This window comes from Homo sapiens, chromosome 6 (genome assembly GCF_000001405.40).
Source record: "Homo sapiens chromosome 6, GRCh38.p14 Primary Assembly".
In the NCBI taxonomy this organism is placed as follows: Eukaryota; Metazoa; Chordata; class Mammalia; order Primates; family Hominidae; genus Homo; species Homo sapiens.
This window is the reverse complement of record NC_000006.12, coordinates 152,085,880-152,112,877: the sequence shown is the minus strand read 5'-3', so window position 1 is coordinate 152,112,877 and position 26,998 is coordinate 152,085,880. Positions and strand designations below refer to the sequence as shown.

The 26,998-nt window shown below is 43.2% G+C and overlaps 1 protein-coding gene across 25 annotated transcripts in view, besides 5 other annotated features; it reads right to left on the bottom strand.

The window, feature by feature from the left end:
* ESR1 (estrogen receptor 1) overlaps positions 1–26,998 on the bottom strand; it is a 472,948-nt gene that overhangs the window by 16,742 nt on the left and 429,208 nt on the right. For 19 of the 25 annotated variants that reach the window (XM_047418290.1, XM_017010377.2, NM_001385568.1 and 16 more), the window contains 2 exons: positions 18,310–18,493; positions 9,604–14,146 (listed from right to left, as the gene is read on the bottom strand). The exons of 1 other annotated variant lie outside the window; for it this stretch is intronic. In XM_047418290.1, the coding sequence (XP_047274246.1) occupies positions 13,912–14,146; positions 18,310–18,493 (419 nt within the window). In that variant the 3' untranslated portion in view covers positions 9,604–13,911. Of the gene's footprint in view, positions 1–9,603; positions 14,147–18,309; positions 18,494–26,998 lie in introns of those variants that run through there. 5 more of the 25 variants (XM_047418295.1, NM_001385570.1, XM_047418296.1 and 2 more) reach the window with 1 other exon arrangement.
* Positions 13,777–14,278: an enhancer, noted in NCBI's record as "OCT4 hESC enhancer chr6:152419735-152420236 (GRCh37/hg19 assembly coordinates)". NCBI's record gives its function as "activates a minimal SCP1, AML or CMV promoter by ChIP-STARR-seq in primed H9 embryonic stem cells {active_cell/tissue: H9 hESC(primed)}" and the evidence as "EXISTENCE:reporter gene assay evidence [ECO:0000049][PMID:30033119]".
* Positions 17,350–17,644: an enhancer, noted in NCBI's record as "tiled region #6602; HepG2 Activating DNase unmatched - State 9:DNaseU, and K562 Activating DNase unmatched - State 9:DNaseU". NCBI's record gives its function as "activates a minimal TATA promoter and a strong SV40 promoter by Sharpr-MPRA in HepG2 and K562 cells {active_cell/tissue: HepG2 | K562}" and the evidence as "EXISTENCE:reporter gene assay evidence [ECO:0000049][PMID:27701403]".
* Positions 17,350–17,664: a biological region, named in NCBI's record as "Sharpr-MPRA regulatory regions 5277 and 6602".
* Positions 17,370–17,664: an enhancer, noted in NCBI's record as "tiled region #5277; HepG2 Activating DNase unmatched - State 9:DNaseU, and K562 Activating DNase matched - State 9:DNaseU". NCBI's record gives its function as "activates a minimal TATA promoter and a strong SV40 promoter by Sharpr-MPRA in HepG2 and K562 cells {active_cell/tissue: HepG2 | K562}" and the evidence as "EXISTENCE:reporter gene assay evidence [ECO:0000049][PMID:27701403]".
* Positions 19,778–19,959: a silencer, noted in NCBI's record as "fragment chr6:152414054-152414235 (GRCh37/hg19 assembly coordinates)". NCBI's record gives its function as "represses an EF-1alpha promoter that drives an FKBP-Casp9 reporter gene in an ReSE screen in HepG2 liver carcinoma cells {active_cell/tissue: HepG2}" and the evidence as "EXISTENCE:reporter gene assay evidence [ECO:0000049][PMID:32094911]".

Sequence of the window (26,998 nt, the reverse complement as noted above, 5' to 3'; positions counted from 1 at the left end):
TCTTGGGAACAGGGACTTCACGTTTTTGTCTTCAGAATGGAAATGGCATGGTCTTTTGCAGTGGGCTCAGAAGGTTCTGCAAATCCCTTGGCCGCTTCCAGTTTCCCTTGTTCGTTTCCTGGTTGGGCGCCTGCCAGGTCAGCTGCTGGTGCTGACATCAGGAGTGCCAGTAGCTGGCCCCTCTGCAGAGTTTCGTTCTGGGGCTGGGTATGTCCCTCCGGCAAGGAGAGCACATAGGTGGTTTCCCAGAGCTCGGTGGGAATGGGCAGTGTGGCACCAGGATGGTGACATAGTTTGGCTGGTGATAAACCTTGCTTATTCAGGGTTTTCAATCCTTTTGATTGGCTTGATGGGATCCCGGGGGCATTGTTAAGCCCTTTCTTCCTTTGGTGGCCTTTGTGTACTCCAGAGGCCTAAATATCCCTGGTAGCTGCTGAGGTCTTGAATCTCCAGTGTCACAGAGTTGCTGGGGAAAGGAGGAACTCACTAGTCGGGGACACTTGACTTGAAATGAGATACAGGAAATTTGAAAGGGCATCTATTTTAACTTTCTGCTTCTAAGCAATCACAGAAAATAGAGGAAAAAAATCTCCATATTGTTTCAAGTTCTCTGACATTGCCTTTCCATTGTTTTTTAAACCTAGATCAAAGTTTAGCTGCTTTTTCCATAGACAGAAGCCTGGAGCTGCCTTGAGTTCTGTCCTTTTTGGGTTCAGGTCTTTCTGCTGCCTGGACCCAGGTTCTTGTGATGCTGGGCTAAAACCAGTGGGTACCAACATTGCCAAGTAACTAAAATAAACTTTTCCATCCAAACCTCCAATCTTTTGACAAACCCACTTAATGTTTTTCTTTATACACGTTTCTTTAGCATTTGAGAATGGATTAGATTGTAGGGATTGTTAAAGGGTGTTTAAAAATATTTAGTAATAAATTCAAAGATGAATTGATGGAGTGTTTACTCTAGTTTGTAATCCGTTCTTAGGGAACCATCTGGCAGCTCCAATTTTGGCACCATCAGCCCTTCCCTCCAATTGGAAGGAAATGCTTCCCTTGCTGGGGTTGAGCCCCAAAACTGGTCTGCGCCTGGCGTCCTCAAGGCACTGAGACCACGTGTAAAGCAGCTACCGAGACAGCGACACGGTTCCTGCAGCTGCCTGCACCCTCTCTCTGCCCTTCTCCCCTCCCTTCCAGCCTGTGGTCTGGGGCCCTGGGTATTGAAACATGTTCTTTCTGGTTGGAAATGTGGAAATACTCAGGAATCTTTTCAGCTTAAACTCCATTGAGTCCGGGGTGAACTTGAGAATTTAATCAGCTTGTAAAAATGTTAACCGGCTCACAAACCTTTCACTGGCCTTTCCCACAATTACTGATTTCTCAATGAAAAGGCAGCTGATGGCAGGTTGCAGGTCCGCAGAAAGGCCTAGCAGCGCACTGAATCTGGGAAGTCGCTCGGAGGGCTGTCTGTCCTGCAACCCTTGGGGCGACTGGCTCTTGGCAAACGGCCTAGCGTCTGCCACTTTGGAGTGCATCCCAGGCACCCAGCCTGGCCTGGCCACTGAGGTCAGCCCACCCACTTTCGAAATCACTTTTTTAAATGTTTGCCCAAAGGCTTCCTTGCTCCAGTTTTATCTTTTTTCACGTTCATTTAGTGAGGTGACAGTTCCTAGTTTGTCAGTTCTACATAGATGCCAAGTGCTTTCACTGTGGGCTGTGGTCCCTTCCTGGGCCATGAGATGGTCTTGTGGCAACGGGGGGAGGGTGAGCCTGCCCCAGAAACTGTCAGAGGCTGAGACAGGCCCTGCTGCTAGTGAGGGTGCCACCGCTGCAGGCTTCAAGGTCTCAGGTCATCGGCTAGAAATAGAGCTCCTCCTGGTGCCAAGGTACAGAGGAAAACCACTCCTCAGCAGGAAGCAGAGGCAGGAAAGGGGCCTCAGAAACCAAGAGCACTGGCACCCCCAGGTGCCAGGAAGATGGTGGAAGTGCTCCTCAAGCTTCCCTACCCAACGGCTGCCCACCAGAAAGACAACCGGGACACATTTCTCCAGGATTTGAGTATGGACATAGCTTTCAGCATCCTGTCCAAGGTGTCATATTTCTTTGATGAAATACTCCTTTTGCGTTAAAAGTTCTTATGAGTTTTTCTTTCTCCTCAGAAAATGTGAAAGCTTGCTTAAATGCAATTTTTGAAAAAAACTTTTATTTTGGGTTCAGGAGTACATGTGCAGGTTGGTTATGTAGGTAAATGTGTGTCATGGGGGTTTGGCATACCGATTATTTTGTCGCGCAGGTATTAAGTCTAGTACCCATTCATTATTTTTCCTGTTTGTCTCCCTCCTTCCACCCTCCACCCCCCGATAGGCCCCAGTATGTGTTGTTCCCCTTTATGTATCCCTGTGTTCTCATCATTTAGCTCCCACTTATAAGTGAGAACATGCAGTATTTGGTTTTCTGTTCCTGCATTAGTTTGCTAAGGATAATGGCCTCCAGCGCCATCCATGTTCCTGCAGAGAACATGTTCTCATTCTTTTCATGGCTGCATAGTATTCCATGATGTATATATACCACATTTTCCTTATCCAGTCTACCATTGACAGGCATTACATGCAAAACTAACATTCACTCTAGTCCTTGAGTAAAATTCCATATGTACTCAGCAACTCTCAGTAATTCCTAGGAAGCTCAACCCTGGTCTAAGAAGTACCACTCATGTTTAAAGTCAGGAAGACTAATTTCATGTCTGCCATTCACAAGATTTCTGACCTTTGGGAGTTGCTTAACTGCCTTAGGCTTCAGTTTCTTCATCTGTAAAATATAATAATTTATCCTTATATGGTAGCTGTGAGGATTACCTGAAAAAGTGGTGTAAAACTGGTACGTAGCTTTTGTGTGTATGAATGTGGGTGTGTATGCTGTCTCACAGTAGAAAGAAAAATCAAAGAACATTCCATCTGCTGAGGGAATCTTTTCAACAACATTGTAGCTTCATGGTTATGGATCCATGCAGAGGTGTCTCCCGTTGCAGGAAATTCTCCCCACCCTTCCCTTCAACCGGCACCCCAGGTTATCTATAGGCAGTTCTGTTAGAAAGTGTATCTCTGTCTTGAACGAACATCTTTTCTCTGGTCTCAGCTCTGCTCTTTTGGTGGTATTCACAAATATTGCAACTGTTTTTGTTGTTGTTGTTATCGTTTGAGACAGAGTTTTGCTCTTGTTGCCCAGGCTGGAGTGCAATGGCACAATCTCGGCTCACCACAAACTCCACCTCCTGGATTCAAGTGATTCTCCTGACTCAGCCTCCTGAGAAGCTGGGATTACAGGCATGCACCACCACACCCAGGTAATTTTGTATTTTCTTTCTTTCTTTTTTTTTTTTTGGTAGAGACGGAGTTTCTCCATGTTGCCCAGACTGGTCTCAAACTCCCTACCTCAGGTGATCCGCCCGCCTTGGCCTCTCAAAGTGCTGGGATTACAGGTGTAAGCCACTGCGCCCAGCCCCAAATATTTTAACTGTAAGCCACCACGAATGTGAACTTAAAACTAGCTTCTTAATGCACATAGTCCAAATAATGAAAACTATGAAAATTTACTTATTTAAGGCGTATGATGTAGTTTGGATCTGTGTCCTCGTCAAATCTCATGTCAAATTGTAATCCCTAGTGTTGGAGGTGGGGCCTGGTGGGAGGTGATTGGATCATGGGACGGAGTTCTCCTGAATGGGTCAGCACCATCCCCTCTGGTGCTATCCTTGTGATAGTGAGTAAGTGAGTTATTGTGAGATCTGGTTGTTGAAAAGTGTGTAGCGCCTCCCCACCTCCCTCTGCCTTCTCCTCCTGGCAAAGTAAGAAGTCCTTGCTTCCCCTTCACCTTCTGCCATGATTGAGTTTCCTGAGGCCTCCCCAGAAGCTGAGCAGATGCTGCCATGCCTCCTGTACAGCCTGCAGAACCGTAAGCCAATTAAACCTCTTTTCTTTATAAATTACCCAGGCTCAGGTATTTCTTTGTAGCAGCGTGAGAATGGGCTAATACAACGTACATTCTGTATTTTTGGAGAAGCAAATCTAAACGTGGTAATTCTGAGTTTAAATGTTCCCAAAGGCTTAAGAATATCTAACACTGGAGAATGTGCTCTTTACCTAGTATGTAATCCAGCCCCAGTCAGGCATTCCTACATTGGCACACTCCAATGGGTACATTTAAAAGCTCCATAGATTGCTCAGTATTCTCTCAAAACCTTGCTGATCCCCAGAAATAACACATGGCATATGTAGACAAGTCTGCTCCTTGGTGTTCTGATAAGAGAAATAAAGGATGGACAGGGTATGTGGAGAGGTGAGATCCCCAGCTATGGCTGAGAGAGAGTATTGGTAAATCCTCACTCCAAAAAGAAACTATAAGGTTGAACAAAATTGACAAAAACAACTATTTCAACACTCTGCAAGTTGACCAAAGATGTATAACAATCTGAGAAATGTTTATATTGAAAAATTGCTGAAATTTGTATAAGTACAGTGCAGATTTGTGGCATTCTTGCCTGGGGCTGCTCCCACCCTTACCTCCCCCAGTTTGGTCAGCAACAGAACAAGGCAGGTAGAAGGACCGACAGCTTTGTTGCTGCAGTCACAGGGGAGCTCACTTGATTTGGTGGATGAGTGTGCAGGGCCAATGTCTTCACTAGCTTGAGGTTGTGGCCGTGGCAAGCACATTCCTGGCTTAGGCTGCAAACATGCCTAGGGGAGATCAGAGTGTGCCCAGGCTAGCTAGCCCCTGACTCCTGTCTGACCATGACGGCTGTGTGCATGTGCAGAGGAGATGCAAAGGGGCCCAGCAAAAAATTGAGTCAGAGTTGAAAACAGCCTGAAAATTGAATGCATTCTCCAGCCACATACAGATCCATCGGTGGAGGACAGAAGCCTTGCTGGGTTAGGGTGTTTGAGCCTAGTCATTGGATACACGCTCAGCTGTGGAGATAGGGGCAACTCTGAGAAAGTCAGGCTTAAAAATAAAAACAGGAATAATAATTTAAGAACCTAGCAGAAATATCAGAAGCCAAATACTAGTAGAGGCAAGTCTCATATATTTAATTCAGGTGAGTTATTTAAAAAATGAATAAAAACAACAAAATCAAGCAGTAGCAACAAGCAGGGAAGAATAAGAATCCAGAGTTGCTACAATAGGGTATCTAAAATGTTCAGTTTTCAATAAAAATTAGGACATATGTAAAGAAACAGGAAAATGTGGCCCACAATCAGGAATAGCAGAGGTCAAAAGAAACTATGTGTTTCCCAGATGCTGGATTTAGCAAAGACTTGATGTAGCTATTATAAATATGCTTAAATATCTGAAGGAAACCATGTTTAAAGAATTAGAGTATGACAACAATGAATCAACAAATGGGAATTCTTAAGAGACAGAAATAAGTTTTAAAAAATCAATTTTTATTCTGTAGTTGAAATATACAATAATGGAAATAAAAATTCACTAGAAGAGCTCAACCTCAGATTCAAGAAGGCAGAAGAAAAACAAAACAGTCCCCTGGAAGATAAATGAATAGAAATTATGTAATTTGAAGAACAGAGAGGAAAAAAGGCAAAAGAAAATAAATAAATGCTCAGAAATTTGTGGGATTGACATCAAGCATACCAACATATATGTAAAGAGAGTCTCAGCAAGGGAGGGGAGAGATGAAGGGGGAAAAACATTATTTGAAAAAACAATGGCTGAAAACTTCCCAAGTTTGATGACAAACATCACTTTACACATTCAAGAGGTTCAGTGATTCCCAAGTAGAATATATACAAAAAGATCTACACCAAAACACATTATAGTCATACTGTTCAAAGATAAAATCTTAAAAGCAATAAAGAAAAAGTAACTTGTCAGATACAGGTGAGCATCAAAACATGGGTGGCTCTGATTTTGTATTGGAAGCAATGGAGGCCTGAAGACAATGGGATGATATATACAAAGTGCTGGGCAGGGCATGGTGGCTCACACTTGTAATCTCAGCACCTTGGGAGGCCAAGGCAGGAGCATTGCTGGAGCCCAGGAGTTCAAGACCAGCCTGGGCAACATAATGAGACCTCATCTCTACAATAAATAAATAAATAAGCAAACAAACAAAATTAGCTGGGTTTGGTGGTACATGCCTGTACTTCCAGCTACTCGGGAGGCTAAGGTGGAAGGATCACTTGAGCCTGGAACATGGAGGCTACAGTGAGCTGAGATTGTGCCACTGCACTCCAGCCTGGGTGAGAGAGCAACACCCTGTCTCAAAAAACAAAACAAAGCAAAACAAAAAGTGCTGAAACAAAAACATCAATGATCATCAACCAGGAATTCCACATTCAAAAAAACTACAAACCGCGCTTCAAAAATGAAGGTGGAATTAATATATTACCAGATAAACAAAGACCAAGATAATTCGTTACTAGTAGACCCACTTTACAAAAAATACTAAATGAATTGCTTCAGGCTAAAAGAAAACGACACCAGACAGTAACTCAAATCCACAGGAAGAAATGAGGCACACTGGAATTGGCAAATACGCAGATTAGTATTTCTAAAGTCCATAAATTTTTTTCTCATTTCTTGTCAATTTTTTTAAAAAGATAGAAAGTAGTTTAAGGCAATAAAATAACATGGTTGAGCTTATAGCATATATAGATATAATATATGTGGTAATAAGAGAATGGAGCTGCATTGGAGCAAATATTTTCATTTTATGTCATCAGATTTAAGTTACTATTAATTTGAAATATACTGTGATAGATTAAGATGCATACTGAGGCCGGGCGCGGTGGCTCACGCCTGTAATCCCAGCACTTTGGGAGGCCGAGGCGGGTGGATCATGAGGTCAGGAGATCGAGACCATCCTGGCTAACAAGGTGAAACCCCGTCTCTACTAAAAAAAAAAATACAAAAAATTAGCCGGGCGCGGTGGCGGGCGCCTGTAGTCCCAGCTACTCGGGAGGCTGAGGCAGGAGAATGGCGTGAACCCGGGAAGCGGAGCTTGCAGCGAGCCGAGATTGCGCCACTGCAGTCCGCAGTCCGGCCTGGGCGACAGAGCGAGACTCCGTCTCAAAAAAAAAAAAAAAAAAAAAAAGATGCATACTGAGCAATCACTAAGAAAATAATTCAAAAAATAATTAAATTGGCTGGGCCCAGTGGCTCACACCTGTAATCTGAGCAATTTGGGAGGCTGAGGCAGGCGGATCACTTGAGGTCAGGAGTTCAAGACCAGCCTTCCCAACATGGTGAAACACTGTCTCTACTAAAAATATAAAAATTAACCAGGTGTGGTGGCGCTCGCCTGTAATCCCAGCTACTCGGGAGGCTGAGGCAGGAGAATCGCTTGAACCCAGGAGGCAGAGGTTGCAGTGAGCCAAGATTGTGCCACTGCACTCCAGCCTGGGTGACAGAACAAAACTCCATCTCAAAAAAAAAAAAAAAAATTAACAGAGGAATTAAAATGACACCCTAAAAATATTTATTTAACAATTTGGGGGGAAAAGGTTAAAGGTTTTCTGTTAGATCCCACAGGTTAAGGGCTCAGTCCCACAAGACTGCCCCCCATCTCAGACACCAATTGCAAAGTACTAAGTTGTCACCTATACCTCTGACCAACTGGTTATAAATTGGAGTTTCCACAAACCCCTCCTTGGGCTTGATTCATTTGCTATGGTGGCTCATAGAACTTAGGGAAACACTTATATTTACCAGTTTATTATCAAGGATAATATAATGAAAAAGATACAGATGGACAAATGAAGAGATGGAGAGAGCCAGGTATGGGGGAAGGTGCGAAGAGCCTCCGTGTCCTCTCCAGGTGGGCTGTCTTCCAGACACCCCCAAGTGTTCACCAACCTAGAAGCTCTCTCAACACTGTCCTCCTGGGTTTTTTATGGCAGCTTCATTACATAGACATGATTAATTACATCAGTGGCCACTGATGATCTATTCAACCATCAGCCCCTCTCCAGAGCCTCTCAAGAGCCTCTCCAGAGGTCAAAGGGTAGAGCTGAAAGTTCCAACCCTTTAATGCCATGGCTGATTCCCCATCCTGAGGTTATCCAGGAGCCCACCAGGAGCTGCCTCATTAGAACAAAAGAAGTTTCTATTGCCCAGGAAATTCCAAGGGATTTGGGAGCTCTGTGTTAGAAACCAGGGTCAAAGACCAAATATTAGAACAAAAGAGCCTCCTAGCACCCCTGTCTACAAGAGTTTTAGAAATTGTCTCAGAAACTGGGGCCAGAGACCAAATATATATTTCTTATTGTACCATAATATCACTAAAACAACGAAAGGCAGTAAGAACAGAGGAACAAAGACAGGAGGCATGTACAAAACGATAATAACGTGAAAAATGTAAATCTAAACATATCCATCATTCTATTAAATGTAGATGCTCAGACAGGGCAACAATAATTGTGATAAAAATAGCTAATGTGGATTGAGTGCTGACTATGTGTGGTACTATCCTGGGCACTTCACATGTCCAGTCTTGTAATCTTCACAGTACTGCTATAGGGTAAGTGCTATTCTTGTTTCTATTTTAGAAATGAGGAAACCATTGAAAACAGGGATTGAAGAACTTGCCAAGGGAATGCTTGGACAAGAAAATGAATTAGTTTCCTGAAATCCATGTGACTCAAACAATGAGAAGACCCTCAACCCATCCTAATAAAGAAATGAGTCCAACGTGCAGTTTCGGAAGACTCTGGAGAGGGAGAAGCAGTGTCAGCCACGGTCCTTCCATACTCTCCATGAGCGAACCATGTGGTCTTCATAAAAGAACCCTTCCAGGCAGATGCACTGTCATCTCTCTTTACAAGTCAAGAAACTGAGGCCCAGGGAACTCAACTTGCCCAAGGTGATGCAAAAAAAAAAAAAAAAAAAAAGGTAGAATGAAGATTCAAACAGTAATCTAGCTGCAGAGCCTGTGTGAATATTATGTTGCATCTCAGTAAGTCCTATACCCACCCCCTCCCAATTCATCAGTTAAATCTGAGAAAATGGGTAAAGGAAGCACGCAGGTAGCTCCAAAAAGGGAAGGGAGTCCTGAAATGGAAACCTGGGGTGGGGGTGGACCAATTGTTCCTGCTTTACCTTCAGAATGAGGGAGAGGTTTTTAAGCTAATTATATCATTTCAGATCACTCATTCTTCCATTCACTCATTCATTCATAAATAACCACTCTCAAGCATCCTTCTTCTCCCTCACAGGGAAGGATTTGGGCCAGGCATTAAAAAACAGCAACTATGTTTAATGAGCACCTCAGTTAGTCCTCACCACCATCGTGTGAATTAGGTGTTATTACTTATCATCATATTGTTGATAAGGAAGCCGAAACTCTGAAAAATCAACTGCCAATGATCATAAAATTTGTAAGTGGTGAAGCCAAGAATTGAGGCCAGTTCTGCCTGACCACAGTGTCCACACACTTCCTGATACACCTGGGGGTGTTGGGCAGAGGGAGTGAGGTGAGGAGAGGCTTTAGCATTCAGACTCACTGTGTGTGACAGATCGTTTAACCACTTTGATTTTAGAGGATCAGTGGTGAACTGCTAGCAAGAAGTGGAGCTTACAAAAAACAAACTCGTTGTCTTTAGTTTAATTCTTTATTTGAACATCAAATAGGTTGAGAAAATTGTTTACAGGTGCTCGAGCATCCCGCTGGATTCTTTTTCAAAGTGCAAAAGAGGTTTACAAGTGTGTTTCATTAAACAAAGCAAAGCTGCGACAAAACCGAGTCACATCAGTAATAGTATGCATCGGCAAAAGGGCATATTAATCCATCAAACACAATTTGGCATTTGAGCCTTTTCCCATAAAACAAGAGCTCTACACTGAAGAGTATGTAGTGCACAAAAAGCATTGTTTATCACCTGTGAGAGAACAGAAACTGGCATAATGTCACTTATTAATTCAAGTCTCTATAACCAATGACCTCTCTGTGAATGCAAAGGGGTCTGTGTCTCAGGCACCTGCTCATGGGACAATATGTTGTTTCTAGGGTGCACAGCTCTAAACACACACACTGACGATGGGTTTGGAACATGGCAGCATTTACATATTTTAAAAGTTCAGGCACAATTGGATGCAAAAAAAAGAATAGAAATTTTTCTTGAATCTCAAAAGACAGTGCAAAATTGAAGTGCCATAATAGAGGCAGCAATTACTTAGAAAACAATTTTAAATGACTAAAAACGAGGCCACACTTTAATTCAATTGGAAAGGAAATGCAGTTGGAAACAGAGCATAATTAACGCTACTGAAAAGATGGATATTTGGGACCAAAGTTCATTTGCTCCAGTTGAGAGTAAGTTTTCAGGGGATTAACTTGGGAATGGTGCAGTGTAATCTAGATCACGCTCCCAAGACCTGCACCAAAGAGAATTATGGTTGCCTTTTGAGCTACTGTATGACTCTATTTGCCTTTCACATAACTAGCTTCCCCAAGCAGATCTGCCTGTGAATATTAGACATTACTATGGTGTTAGTGATCACTCCCAGTACCCACAGTCCATCTCATAATTGGAAAGTATGAATAGGAAAGTATTTGTAATCAGTGTCATGCAGGGGAAGGAGTACTCTAAGCCAGTGGCCTAAATCAATGGCCATTTCAGTGTATAAGATTTCAAGGTGAGAACACCTTAATGTGATCAAAAGTAAATTATCAGTAAGTCCCTTATTTGTTCAGCCCTCAAAAGGCATGGGCTATGGCTTGGTTAAACATATCTGCAAGGTTACTAGGGAAATCAAATCAAAGACTGCACTTCCTTAGGGGTTAGATTTTGCAACCTACATTGATAGGGTCTTCTCTTTGGATGACCTAGCCTCTCATAATTGCTGCATGATGGCATTATAGAATCATTACGGCAAGCTAGGCAATGGCGAAAAGAAACACAGACCACTAGCTATTCCATGGACTTTACTGCTGATGTTGTTCTTTCTTCTCTAGAACTGAAGCTGCCATTTTAGAAATGGCTGTAAATGGAGCTAGTTGATTTGTGGTCTCCAGGGCAGAAGTGGACTCTACTGAACCCTGGTGCACACCCAGAATTAACCATTTTCCTCCAAATACTTTCAATACTCTTCTTAATATATTTGCCATTCCCCAGATTCCTGAATCCACTTCCCCACCATACCTGAGCCCCCCAGATAAATCACATCTTTTACATTTTAACTTGCCTCAGAGTGGGGGAAAGCAGAGGCAAGAGTTTTTTTTTAAATCATGTTCCTACACCCAATACCAACATCAGCCAGAAAATATCTGCTGTCCATTAGTGGCACTTCAAGTAAAAATACAAAGAGATTTCCAAAGTTGCTGGAGACCCCTGGGCGAACATTTCAATCATCTGATGTTCTCTGCCCACTTCAAATGTAGTAGTATCTTAACATGAATAGAAACACATTGGATGAATAATGTAAAACCTTCCACTGTATAATTGTTTGGCTTTAGCTGGTATTACATCGTCTAGTCCTAGAAATTTTTTTTTGTTTTATTTTAATTTTTTTAAAAGAAAATCTAAGTATAAACATTAAAAAGAACCCACTGACCCATTAGCTACTGTCCAAAAATATTACTACTGATATTTTGGTAAAAGCAAAATTAGCTGCCCTGAATAATTTTCCTTTTCAGGCATAATCTTTGCTACATAAGATTGTCTGTCATTCAGTATCCAACAATAGGCATCTGGATTAGTGCTATTTTGTCTACTGTGGATACAAAAGTTGATATGAAATGTGATCTTCATTTAAATGAATAATCACCAGGCTTTAGGCATAAATGACTGTATACATGACAAGGTAGCTTGAAAAGTATACAAAAAAAAAAAAAAAAACTAAATATTTTTCCTTGGTTTTTGCATGTTAACCCAGTCAAATTAAATCCAGAACAGAATTACTACATTCAATTGTCTGATAAACAAGCAATGTAATTTCAAAAAAATATATATTATACTATATAAGGTGCTTCTTAAACAAACTAAGGTGCTTCTTAAACAAACAGCAACAAAAGAATTATGTTCTTAAACATATCCTTAACACAGATACATAAAATTGTCCCCAAATTTAAGTGCACATAAAAACTTTTTTTTTTTTTTTGCCCTCCCAGATTCTCAGTCCTTTGGTGATCACTTAACTGGACAATCAGAAATGAATGAAATCCACTTTTCCAAACAAGACATACCAAGAGAAGCCCGAGCAGCTCACCTGGGTCATTGGCTAACACAGACATCACCTCTCAATAGGGTTTCAATTACAGACAATAAGGTCACCCAGAGGAAATCAAACATTCTTTTTTGTTAAGAAAAAGGAAGTAACCCATAATTGTGCTAGAGAAGCAAAGGCCCAGGGAAGGCTGCCCTGTGGCTGGAATGAGCCTTTCTTTTTTAGCCTATAGGTCAAAGGAAATTGAAGGAAATGAGCTGGCAGGAGTGGAGGCGGTAGGGAACGGGGCGGGGGAGGAAGGGGGAGGATTTTCTTCCCCAAACCAAACCCTGATTTTGGATTATCTCTAAACCACCAAGGGCATACGTAATCTGACCAGGCCCCAGTCAGCCTGAGTAGTGACAGCAACGGTCCCCACCCTTCTCCCGTGCCCCAGGGTGCTGGGCCAATTGTAGGAACACAGCTGTCTACAGCAGCTGTGACAGCTGCTTCTTCCAACCAGGGCCACGCTGGGAAATGAAGAAGAGCTGGACTACCCCAGGGATCCCAGGGCACCCCCAAAGGGCAATGCGGGGTCTGCAAGGAATGTTCCTAGGTAGCTGCAGCCTGTGGCAGGGCCACCCTGAGCAAGTCTGGCTGTGCCTCAGAACTGTATCCAGTTTCTGCCCTACTTTCCCTCTTGTTCTCTAGTAGCCACAACAATCCTGCACAAGTACTGTTCAGCTCCATGCCCCAGGGCTAAATGCAACACCAGGGCCCCTGCTCCTTTCAACTACCATTTACCCTCATCATGCATCACCACAGTGAACAGTTCACCCCTGTGTAAGGCACACACACGCCGGGAAGATCCAAGTACAGTGCCCACTGGAACAGGTCCTGAAGCTGACCTTACTGCAAGTTCAGGGAGGGAGGGCTTTCTTTTGTAACACAAAAATAAAAACAAAAATCAGGAACTTATCCCTCATATAGGGAGACTTAACTAAGATCAACTTGCTGCTCTCCATAGGTCCATGGGAGGCATGAATTAACTGGAACCCATGACCGGAAAGCCAGAGGCAGAGCTTTCAGCACATCTGAATCTGCAGTGTATCAAGTTAAAATAGTCTTGCCAACTAGGGGATCTGCCTTCCCTGTGTGCCCCTTGTATTCCTATAGGGGGAATGAATTGACAATCACCAGATACTCTGCTACAGTCATATAAAAGCTTTAAGGTGTACCACTTTCATAAAAGGATGCATTGCCATAGGAATACAAGAGGGTGCTATAATAAACCCTTGACCTAGCTTTCTCCAAGTCACCAATTAAAGGAGCCACTTTAAATTCTTTGCTGTGGCTTATTCTTAGAGCCATTTAAAAAGTGCTTATCAGAGGCAAAATGTCTACTCTCCAGGCCTGGGTCTCTACAAGTAGCTTAAATGCACAGAGTTATCTGAGCCCCAACCCATAGACTGAGTTCAGCTGTGAAGAGCTACGGGAATCCTCACGCTTAGTAACATAGCAAGGGGGAAAGAGAGCTGTTACAAAGATTTAGCCTTGGAATCCCTTTGGCTGTTCCCAACAGAAGACAGAAGATGTGCCACTAAGAACTGAGCAAGCAAATGAATGGCCACTCATCTAGAAAGCCATTGGTGTTGGATGCATGCCGGAGTGTATGCAGGAGACAGAATTTGGCTAAAGTGGTGCATGATGAGGGTAAAATGCAGCAGGGATTATCTGAACCGTGTGGGAGCCAGGGAGCTCTCAGACCGTGGCAGGGAAACCCTCTGCCTCCCCCGTGATGTAATACTTTTGCAAGGAATGCGATGAAGTAGAGCCCGCAGTGGCCAAGTGGCTTTGGTCCGTCTCCTCCACGGATGCCCCTCCACGGCTAGTGGGCGCATGTAGGCGGTGGGCGTCCAGCATCTCCAGCAGCAGGTCATAGAGGGGCACCACGTTCTTGCACTTCATGCTGTACAGATGCTCCATGCCTTTGTTACTGTAGGTGGGAAGACACAGAAAGGACTACTTTAGAGCCAACCCGAGCCCCAGGAGTGCTGAAATCCCTAGAAGGGGAAGGAAGAGGAACTCCAAAGACACTTAGCAATCTTTCTTTCTTCCTGTTTAAAGACCCACTTTAGGATGGGAGCTGGGAAAGCTGAGGGCTTTCAGAAGCCCTAATCTGGAACTCATGGCCGTGTGTTTTTCATTTTCCACCTCCTACCAGGGCGGTCCCACCCTCACACTCTCCCTGCAGCCACTTTCAGGGTATTTGCTATGCAGGTGACTTCCATGGACCTCCGTGGCCTCAAATGAGATCCTATTCCCCTCCAATAGGACCTAAATGCATTCAAATAGGATCGCCAAAGCTTCTAAAAAGACAACATGAGATATTCAGCCAAGCAGGAGTGGGTATTTTAAATGAGTAAAGCAGTTCAAGACGCTCCATTGTTAAATCTCTCACGTCACTTCCCATTTAACTCAGAATACGATCTAAATGCCTTTCCATGTTCAACAAGGCCCAACTGGTCCAGCTTCCATCCATGTCTCCAAGCTCTTCCTGCCTCTCTCCCCTAATGTGCTCTCCGGAGCCACACTGATTTTTGTGCTGCCCTTAAAGGAACTAAGCTCCCCCAAGACTTAGGGGACCTACACTTGCTGTTCCTACTTGCTGGGATGAACCTTCCTCCGGTCTTCAAATGCCGCCTCCTCGGAAAGGCCTACCGCTACCCAGTGGCAGCAGCCTCAAGCCTCTGCAGGCTCAGCCTTCCTCTTTCACACCGTTCTGTTTTTCTCAGCACTCTTATCACTGCCTGAAATTCTCCTTTTTATTTATTTGTGTTTATTCTCCCGCCTCCAAACACACACGTGCACACACTCACACCCTCAGTGCGAATTCCTAGAGAAGCAGGCTTTATCCTGTCCCCTGCTAGGCCTAAAACAGTGCCCAGAGCTCAGTTCACGTTCAGGAAAACAAGGGGGGAAATGGGCAGCGGGAAATGGGCAGAGGGAAATGTAGGCAAATGGCATTCTCCTTTCCCTACTCTCCTCCTCTGCTCTCCTCCACTAGCCACAACTCTGCTGCCCCACCACACTACTGGTGGCGGGGGTGGGGAGGAGAACAACTATTATCTAGTTTGAAATTTCTTTTAAAAGAAATATGTATCATGAGTAGCAGGACCAAGAGAAGGTCTTAGAAAAATTTGCATTTTTAGTAGGGGAAAATTCAGCTCAAGTTGGAGACTTGCCATGAAAACACAACATCAAAGCTATTCAGGGCCTACAGCATGATCTAAATTACTTGTTTAAGTGTTACTTTTTTTTTTTTTCATTTAAAATGCTATAAAAGTTAAATGCCCCCTGGATCTGCCACTGTGTTCCTTGTGCAACCTGATGATTCACGTTTACAGTCAGATGAAATCTGATATTAAATTCTCTGAGTAGCAACATATGGCTGGGGCCAAGCTTACTTAACAAAATAGACTTCTGCGATTTAGATTGGCTTAGTGAGGAACCAAAATATTATTATTATTACAATTGTGTGTGTGTGTATGTGTGTGTGTGTGTCAGAGAGAGAGAGAGAAAGAGAGAGAGAGAGAAAGAGAAGCAACCTCTCCAGCTTTTCACACGATTCCAACAGAAACTCTACAGAGCTTTCTCCCTGCTGCTGCCCTCTGCCAGACGTGGCCAGTAAAATCAGCCAGGGTTGTATATTTAGTGCAAATTTACTTAGTATTAACTAATTAGGCTTGCTAATGCTGACAAGCAGTTAATGGATTTGAAAATTCAGCAATTCCTTTCAACAAATAAAAACACCCAACTGCAATGCATTGAATCTACAACATCACCGAAATTCCCAGCTCAGAGTCAAAGCTAATATGTTTTCCTCCAGGGTAAGGTTATTCTCTCAGCCAGGGATTTTGGCATCTAATCCACTCATGGCTTCCCTCTCTATAATACTCATCAAAAGAAAAAGACAGGGGAGACTGGAAATGTATACTCTGAATGCAGTCACCTACTCTACCTGACAGACGTGATTCCTTCATCTGTTACACAGGAATCCTTGGGGAACCCTGAGAACAGAGATTGCAATCACCTTCTTACCAAGTAGAAGCCGAATTCACAGGGCAGGGAAAAGCCTGCCATGAGCCATTTGTTCATCCATTCATTCCCTCATTTCTTTGTTCACTCACTCAGTAGTAATGTTGGGGGCATATACCATATGTAAGTCTTCACATATGGCACTGTGAGGGATACAAAGAAAATGAGATACATCTATTTTCCCAGGAGCTAATAATTTTTAAAGGTTGTCTCCGGAAAGGGTGGTGCCTGGGAGTTTAATGGAGCAAACTTCTTACCATTTGAATCACGGTCTAAGGATTTGAAGGTCCCTTAAAAATGATCGAATCCAACCTCCTTAAGACATCATAGGCCTTCCCTCATAGCCACTAAGAGAAGGAATCTCTTTCATTCCTAGGGTCCTGGTGTAAGCCCAAGGTCATGTAGGCTTCATCACCCATGAGTACCTGTCCTTTTAGTGATACCACTTGACATCGTCATTGTGGCTTCATCACCCATTGGCACCTGTCCTTCTAGTGTCATCACTTTGAATCATTGTTGTGGTCCTGCTGGAGTCTGCAATAAATAACCCAGCAGTCTCCCCATCTCTTCCCTGCAGATGAGGTCTACTTATGGGAATGGTATCCACTAAGCTTTTGGCTAGCCAAATTACAGGACAATGGAATGGAAATGAGACCACTTTCACCTTTTGGCATAGAAAGACTCTATTTTGTCTGCTGATGTCCTTCCTTAGCTCTTACAGAAAACATTTGTTGAGTATTTACTATGTGCTCTACATCATGCTAGGTGATATTGGGTAAGCAAGCCATATTGCAATGATGGCTCACAGAGTTGTCAGTCTAAATGGGCAGAAAAATAGTAAAATGGGCAGTAACCATAGGGAAGAACAGAGTGTAAGTTCCAACTAGGTCTTAAGGATTAGGAGATGCTTCCTGCAAGGAGTGAGATCTGAGCTATGATAGGTTAGATTATTGCTCAGAAATAGTCATGACCCCGGCAACATGTCCCTCTTTGACTCTGGACACCCCACATGCTTGCTTGGCCAATGAAATGTCAGTGGACATGAGTGAAAGAAAAGAGTAAAATGCACTTGCCCAAACAGGATCACTTTCTCATGCCTCTGCCATTGCGATGAGAACATGTCCCAGCTAACATGTGGGTACAAGGAGGATAGGAGACATGAGGCATAGAGCAGAGTCACCCTGGCCTCAGGCAGCTGCCTCCCAGATGTGTGAGTGAGCCCAGCTGAGGTCAGGAGGGCTGACCGCCAATCTGCAGCCTGAAGAAGAACCTCCCCCCGATGACTCATCCAACAGTCAGCTATTATGGCTAGAGCTCAGACATGAGGAAGTCCTTGTAAGCTAAGTAAGGGCTGAATCATAAGGAGTAATAAAAACAAAGTGAAAGGGTTTATATTTTATCTAAAAGCAATGAGAACTTAAGGGTTTTAAGCAGGAGGATGACATCAGATTTGGTTCTAGAATGATCACTCTGGACACATCATGGAGAATGATCTAGAAAGGATCTAGATTACAGGCAGGGATACACATCCAGTGACTGGCACAGAAGTCCAACAGAAAATGATGGTGGCTTAGACTAGGGTAATGGCAATGGGGGTGACAAGAAGGGGTTCAACAGGTATGAAGGAGTCAACATTGACTCTCCGTGAGGCATCTGGCCCCAGGGTCTCTCATTTAGAATATCCGAGTGTACACAGGGACCATAACAGATGTACCCAGTGTCTTCAGGGGATGTGTACATTCACTGACTTCTCTTGATTGGCCCCCTCCTCCTATTTGCACACTGCACCCAATCTCTAAACCACTGCCCCAAAGCACATGCTTTAAACCAAGCGTAAGTATCGCTTCCTCTATGCCTTCTCTGACACTTGCCCTGTGACCCTCGCAGATTTAAAACCTCTCTCTTCTGTCCTCCTATAGCATTTATGCTTATTCTATGCCAGGAACTGTCACAAGTGCACTCTCCATATGCAGGCACCAGTCCTTCCCGGCCAGCTGTCACATAGGTTTGGGGGCATGTTTTCTTTATGTCTCTCCTGTAGGAAGCCCACAGATGCCTCACCTCATGTGCCTGATGTGGGAGAGGATGAGGAGGAGCTGGGCCAGCCGCTGGTGCTGCTGCTGCAGGGTCAGGCCTGCCTTGGCCATCAGGTGGATCAAAGTGTCTGTGATCTTGTCCAGGACTCGGTGGATATGGTCCTTCTCTTCCAGAGACTTCAGGGTGCTGGACAGAAATGTGTACACTCCTGAATGCGCAGAGAGAGAGTGAGAGAGAGAAGCTCAAAGAGGATGAGGTCTAGGAGACCCAGAGTGTTCATGGGATGTAACAATGAGCCAGTGCCCTTCCTCAGCACAGTAGTCTAGCAATGGGGATGCTCTGGACCCATTTAAAACCGGGTTACAGTGTAAAATTCCTAATGCATTTGCAAGTCTCAGAGCACCAGCAAACCAAGGAGGGCTCCTTTGTATGAGCCATGACCCAGAAAGGGGCTGTTAGCCTTGGGGCCTGTCATGGTAACATGGGCCACCTTTTCTCAGACAGGTCTGACACCATCATGAATTGTCCATGTAATGTAATTGACCATGTAACTGACAACCCTGTGAGCAGCCACTGTTGTTCCTTTTCACATCAAGAAACAAAAAGGCAGAGAAAGTCACTAACCTGCTAGGGAACTCGGATAGTAGGTAGGCAGAGCTTAGATGAAACCCAATCTGCTGACTCCACATGTGGTAATGATAAAGGAGACGCTCTCTCGGGAGACGTGTGAAACTCGTGGTGAGATTCAGAGACAGAGAGTGATGAGCGATTGGCTAAGTGACTGGAAGGTGATTTTTCCAGGTAGGATTTCTGTTTTAGATCAAGTTTGAAGTCTAAGCACTTTTAAGCCTCAGCAGAAAAGTTTATGATGTGGATGGGGATAGGCCACTTGAAAACCGCTGTTTTTTACGGCCACATAAGTTTTTCCTCTCTCGCCTATTTTCTGAAATAGATCCTGCTGTCTGGGCCCCACAGATAGATCCAGGACAGAAAGTGAGACCATCACAGTGCCTGGTGCCTCTGGACAGCCTCAAGCCAGAAAATAAGAGCCTATTTCTGAGATTGTATATGAGGTTGTGAGACAAAAGTTTTTTCTTCTCGCATTGCTAAACTGAGAGGATGAGAATACGAGGCTCTGAATGGCCCTCTTCCCAGCACATGGAACTCCTGTCTGCAGAAAGGAAACTACTGACAACAAGGAGAGGTGATAGTGTGGGGGGGTGAGAGAGAGAGAGAGAAAGAGAGAGAGAGAGAGAGAGAGATCCAGGTAGTAGGTAGTAGTCACAAGGTCTTAGTTTTTTTTTTTTGTTTTTTTTTTGAGACAGAGTCTCACTCTGCCGCCCAGGCTGGAGTGCAGTGGCACATCTCAACTCACTGCAACCTCTGCCTCCCAGGTTTAAACAGTTCTCTGCCTCAGCCTCCCAAGTAGCTGGGAATACACGAGCCTGCCACCACACCCGGCTAATTTTTGTGTTTTTAGTAGAGATGGGGTTTCGCCATCTTGGGCAGGCTGGTCTTGAACTCCTGACCTTGTGACCCACCTGCCTCGGCCTCCCAAAATGCTGGGATGATAGGCGTGAGCCACCACACCCCACCAAGGTCTTCGTTCTTACATTTTTTTCACTTGACCTTTGAGCTTTCATATATCCTTCCTAACACACGTATCAGTGAATCCCCTTTTTGCTTAAGATAGTGTGAGTTGGATTTCTGTCGCTTATAACTGAAAAAATTCTATTACAAGAAGTTGAGACCTCAACCCAAGGACAGGAAGAAAATGAGTGACCGTGAAGTAAGAAGTATTGAGAACAAGAGATGGGCAGGATGGAACAGGCTTTTTTGGGACTACAAGGATGCATTTTCTAACACTGCAGCAATAAGCTCCATCCTGCCTAATCACAGCGCCTTGCAGGGAGGAGATGACAGTATTTTTGTTTTCCAGATTATGTGTATTTATAGTAACACTTTTTGGTCATACCACTATTCAGCCCACTGACCATCTCACAAACAAATTCCTTCTCCTCCCCTCTCCCCTTCCTCATCAGCACCTTCAAGAGCTAAAGGCTCCCAAGTTTATCAATCCCTGACTTTATGCGGATAACATGGTGACAAGTTACTGCTCACGTAGCAGTTTGTAGGTCGGGTATGGGAGAAACATCTACACAGAGGAACTCATAGTAAACAGAGTTGTAACTGCCCAGAATGGAAAATGGCTAAGGTTTAAAACTAACGTAACAATAACAACAAACCAGAATGGTCGGGATCTTGGTTTCCATGCAGTTGAATAGGATAATGTAGCTTTTGGTACCCTGGGGCACCTTGATCTAAAGCAAACAGCACAGAATGAGTAAGCAGCAGAGAGACAGCAGATTAAGAAGGAAACTGCTGAATTACTTCACTTATGTTCCATGTGGGCTGTTGGTAGAGAAAGAATGTGTCTATCAGAAAAATGGGCAAACCTCCCATGGCCGTGGTGTTGGCCTGGAGGTGGCAGATAGCAGAGGGTGTGAGCTGGGAGGTTAGGGCTAGGAGGGCCTCAGCTCTTCTCCCCTTTTCTCTGCCTCTCACAGTCCTCTGTGTCATCATACCCAGTGCAGCCTCACATCCCCTAGAGCCTCTGCCTCCGGCTGGATATCCTAGGAACCCGCCCAAGCCACAGGGCTGAGTTAGACCAACTTGGATGATGTACTTTCTACCAATTTCCTTTTTTGTTCCCACCCAGGATGCTGGCCTCATTCACCAATAATCCCTTTCTTGTTCAAGGAAATCACAGAATGGAGACTCAAACAGCTTGGATGTCCCTGCCTGGAAAGGTGACATGTGTGCCTCTCTTCTCTTCTTATTGTTTGCACGGTGTGAAGGCACACCGTGCTGGGACCTCAGCGACCCCAAGAGACAGCATTTCACCATGACCTTGCCAATGGAGGTCAAAGACATGGCACTCGGCCTCTGGGGAGTGACTTTTTTCTTGGGCTGCCAATGTTCCATCCTCCTTAAGGTGCGTGTGGGTTCCTTCATCCAGCATGCACTTACTGAGAACCTAGTGTGTGCATAACTATGCTAAGGATTCCAAGCCTTACTTCCTTTCAAGTGTTAATGTTTTAAGAGCAGATATTGCCTGCAGAGAGAGAATGTTCTTAACACGGACTCTCAGGATGCAGGCCATTTGCAGAACAAGCCTGTTTTTCTAGTCCTGTTTTGGCATCAATACAGCTTATCATCTCATCCTTGTCAGCAGATGCTTCCTAGTTGTGCAAATATACTGAGAAATAAAAATAGGTCCTGTTGAAATGCCAATAGTTGACAACAGCAGCCATCTTCTTTCTGGACTTTTCTGGCAAAATGTGGTCCATGTGTGCTGCCTGTTGCCCTTCAGGGGCCATTTGGGAGAAACAACAGAAATTCAGATTCCCAGAATGCTTCGTGTGCTTTGGCAACCACTGCAAGAGCAAAACAGGGCTGCTGGTAATTTCCATATCCCAGGTGGTCTCTCCCACCCTGGATGGCCACACCACTGTGCCCAGCAGCATAGAGCAAGTGAGCAGACAGTGTGGACCCTCAAAAATATTATTGCAACAAGGTAGGCTTTTGCAACTCTGGAGATTGCTCCAAATCCCAAAGATGGAAACAAGAAAAAATCTATATGTCATTAACCAGTCTTGAGGTGCTGTCAGCAAATCTGAGCTTCTAGGCAATCTGGATCTTGTAGCCAATAAGGGGATATTTAGGAAGAGTCTGGGGAAACGGAGTGGTACAAACGAAAGGGGAGTGAAGCCACGAGGACACCCCCATGTACAAGACATCTCAACCCAGTCTCTTGCTCTCTCCCTCTCCCTCACTCTCAATTCTGCTGTCCCTCACCTTCTCTCATTTTGCTTGGACATTCTCCCTTCCTTTTCCTCTTTCCATCTCCACCCCAGAGGAACCCCCTTCTCCATTTCTCAGCACTTTTCTAGATAATGGAGTCTTCCGGAAGCTGGAGGAGCTGTGCTGTACACTGCAGTGCCTGTGCAGTGTGGCTGTGCCCAGAAGGAAGCTCTAGTACAACTAGGGGTCCCCTTGCCATGGGCCTCCATGGAGATGGGGGACACATCTAAATGTCTCTGGAGAAGTAAGAGATGCTGATGCCTATGGCTTACCAGATGTTTGAGGACAAACTCTTCAAGCCAGGCCAGATTTTCTATCTGTTCCCAAAGGAAGGATGTGACAGCAGACCCTGAAAGAATCCTTCATTCTATCGCATCTTGATCAAAAACAGAATGACTCAAAGGAAAAAGTGAAGAAAATTCCTCAAGTCACAATTTAAGTAGTCTGGACCAGAAAGCTGCCACTCAGCTTGGAGAAGGAGGAGATTTCAGCATTCTCAGAGGTACTAGGGATGAGTCACACATCAGCCTTTCGGGTGCCCTGCCAGGGACTCATTCTACAACCAAATAGTGTGCTTGCTCAAAAGTGCCACTGAAGCTGACCGTCCGATGAACACCATGTTTGTTGTATGCTTCTCCTATGATTGTGGTTCTTCTGTGGTTCCGGGAGTGGCACTGTCCCTAACAGGGTGTTTGGACAGCCCGAGGCTGCTGCTGCCACTTCGTGGAAGGGACTGTACTGGATGTCCTACAATGTGCAAGGCAGTCCCAAACAATGAAGGATTTGTTCCAGTTCCTATGCCTCTCAAATGCCCTACTGAACTAAATCTACTACAAATAAAAATCTATAGTGGCTGGGTGCAATGACTCATGCCTGTAACCCACCACTTTGGGAGGCCAAGGCAGGCGGAACACTTGAGATGAGGAGTTCAAGACCATCCTGGCCAACATGGTGAAATCCTGTCTCTACTAAAATTACAAAAATTAGTCAGGTGTGGTGTCAGGTGCCTGTAATCCCAGCTACTCGGGAGGCTGAGGCAGGAGAATCACTTGGACCTGGGAGGTGGAGGTTGCAGTGAGCCGAGATCGCACCACTGCACTCTAGCCTGGGTGACAGAGTGAGACTCCGTCTCAAAAAAAAGTAGTGAAAAGTTTTGAAAAGCTTTCACATGGCTGTGCCCAAAAGGTCCAGTGTATGAACTGGTTATAGAGAAGGAAGTTTAAATGGAATATATTTTCTCCAAATTATTAAATAGCTTATTCACTTTATGCAATTTGGCAATTGAATGTATTATGTCAGCTTTTCAACCATGCATTTAATTGAAATGATTTCAGTGCAGTTGAACAGGTACTACAAAAACAATACAACCGGATGTAAATATGTAGAGAGGAGATGTAAGACTCTACTAAATAAAATTAGAGCCAACAATTATAAAATAGTACACATCAATGAAATATTGTTGTTGCCTCCTATATGTTTTAAAATAAATTTGTAACATGATAAGAAGTCCATTTTTGTGCAATGTACATATTAAAATTATTTTGAGGTTTGTATCTGTTTTACATTGACATCGTCTCCAGAGTTTTCCTGATAGCCTCTTACATGTTTTTTTGTTTGTTTGTTTCTTTTTCCAATCCATCTTGTCTTCTCCATTGCTCATCCAAAGGATATCATCTCCAAGGCCTTGTTAAGTTCTAGAGACTGACTGAATATTTGCCTTGAATGTAGTGGGATATTAAGATAGGATAAATGTTTCTATCCATTTTGGCTCTTTTTCATCTTATAACAAAGGGAATCACTTTGACAATACACTTATAATAAAGCCAGACTCATTTGCAAAATTACTTCATTTTTTATTCTTCTTTCACTTCCACAGTCTTTCAATTTTCTTGGCGTGTGTTTTAGCCCATTTTCTGTTGTTTATAACAGAATACCTGAAACTGGATAATTTACAAAGAAAAGGAATTCATTTCCTACAGTTATGGAGGTTGAGAAATCCTAGGTCAAGGGGACACATTGGGTGAGGGCCTTCTTTCTGCTGGGGACTCTGCGGGGTCCCGAGATGGCTCACATGGCAAGGAGGCTGAGTGTGCTAGCGCAGGTCTCTCTTCCTTCTCTTATAAAGCTACCAGTCCCACTCCTGGGATAACTCATTGATCCATTAACCCGTTATTCCGTGAATGGTTTCAACCACTCATGAGCGCAGAATCTTCTTGAACCAATCACCTCTTAAAGGTCCCACTTCTCAATACTGCCACATGGGGGATTAAATTTCAACATGAGTTTTGGAAGGGACAAACATTCAGACCACACGGTAGCATATTTTTACTAATCAATTTTTTTTCTCTCCTTTTATCATACACAAATAGGTTGGTTAGTTTTTAGTTTTCTCAGTCTGGTGTCCATCTCTTGCTCTACTTTTTCATATGCCTGTACTTCTTGGACAAAAAGCCTCTGATCATCTTCTCATAGCCAAACATTCATTATAAGTACATATAAGCATTTTATTACTTTATTATGTTTCCTACTTTAGTCAAGCTTGGGCATCTGCATTGAAATATATATCATTTTATTTTAATATAGTTTAATATAATTTCTCCTTTATATGATGGTTATAAAATACATTACATTTTTAATTATATGTACAGGTAAATTATTACCTATTTGTTTCATTTAAGAGTAGTCAAAGGAATATGTATGTTTTATTAGACTGGTAGTTTGTTATGGCAATTCAAGGAGATTTTTTCTCTTAAGGTTTGTGAATCTCAAACTTGGCTGTCTCTCAGAATCTCCCGTGGAGTTTTACAAGATGCAGCTGTCAGGTTCCATCCAAACCTGATGATTGGAAGCTGAGGGTGGAGCCCTGATATCAGTGCTTTTAAAACACTCTCCATTAACAGCCATGATGACAAATCACAAGACTATCTTAGCTTCTTTGTATTGTGGCTACTAAAATGTAAAATCTTGAAAACATGGATTGTATCCTTGTTTTGTGAAAAGAGCCCTATCACAATGCTACAATGACTTTAAGAGGATGATCTATCCATGGATATCTTTGCTCCTCCAAGCCTGTTCTGCCTTTCTGGCTGGACTGGTTAGAATGGAGATAACTCTTAGGATGACCTTGGAAGCCACCCATTCATGATGACAGAGCCCTCAACAGCCTGAGTCCCTGAGTGACCACATAAAAGAGGGTTATGATATCAACATGTTCGTGGACCCAGCATTGTTAAGTAAATAAGAAATAAACTGCTAGGTGTTTGAGCCATTATACATTTTGTAGCCTATTGTTATAGTAGGTGTCCTACTGTAATGCAAGATGAGAAGTATTTTATGACTTGCTGATGGGAAAGTGAATACGTTTGTATAAAGAGGAATAAAGACAGAGGAATGTTTTGTATACCTCCTTTTGTGGCCATTTCCTACATTCTTAAGGCTTTAGTAAACTTTGAGAAGTTATTTAGAAGTCATTTCTCTTCCCTAATGCCAATACTGCCACACTTTGTTATGGAAACCACAATCTAAATTCTGGAACCACCTAGACATCCCCCATCATGCTATCCATTCATTCGGAACACTAACATACTTCATAGCAACCAATTTGCTCAAAGAACTAAGGGGAAAGCCTAAGACACTTGAATGTTTAGTTTGATAAAGCCCTCAACATTAAAACCCTCAACATTACTGAAGACTTCAAAGAGATTGCTTTATGGCACAGAGGAACTGACTTCTCATTACGTGAGTTGAATAAAGAGATTATTGCTTTGGGAAATATTTGTTCATAGATAGGAAACTTCCATCCTTCTCCTGATGTGTAATTGTTCACCTGAAAGGTGAAGAGCCTGCTCGTAACCCAATCCTTGAGCAAATGTGTATTGTTAGACTAGTGTGTATAAGACCATACACTCATCAAAGTCCTCTCTAAGAGGTCTCAAAGAGAGACGACAGTGAAGATGAGTGTTTTTGCTGGAACCCAGCAAGGGAACATGGCAGTGCTGTTCATTTGGTATTGCTATATTCCCAGCTGGCACAGATGACTACATAACCAACCACATGCCTCTGATTCAGTGACATTTTTCAACTTGGTATAATTTTTTAGTGACGTCTACTAGATGTTCTAGAAAGTAAATACTTGGTGCATCAACACATTCATAGTGAAACTGATGAACTGGTTCAGTTGACTTGAGAAAAAAATCTTACATGTGCACTTTTTAAAAAGAATTTAATGTCTCACCTTTAAATATAAAGTCCCAGTTTTTAATTTTTGTAAGAAATATTATATTTATTTAAATATTAATTATTAATAATAAAATAAATATTATTTATTTAAATAAATATTAAGTATTTATTTAAATACATTTTGTAATAAATATAGCCTTTGTAATAAAATATTATAGCCTAATAGCTTTTGGGACAAAGCCATTACGGATCTATATTTTCCTTAGGAGCCTTCTTTTCATTACTTGTATCTGTAATATATTTTAAAACAATCAGGGTTCTGGATTTCCTACTCCACAGTCAGTTACTATCTTCCCAAGGTCAGAAAGGAGATGATGTAAAGACACATTTGGAAAATGCACAGTCCATCTATTGCAGAGGAGTTTGCAGAAGGTTCCACGTGGAACTTCTAGTCCCACTGGGGTGACCTAGTCTCAGAGGCTTTGAGGGTTTCCTTTTTTCCTAGAAAAGGCAGACCAAAACATCCTGGATACATTTGTTTCCCTGGATCCTACCTTTTCTTGCCTGGTATTTCAACAATAATTAAGCCACAATGCAGAGCAGGAAGCCTCTCTTGCACACTGTGGAAGATTGTGTTTTCCAAGGATGACCACACCAATATCTCCTATCC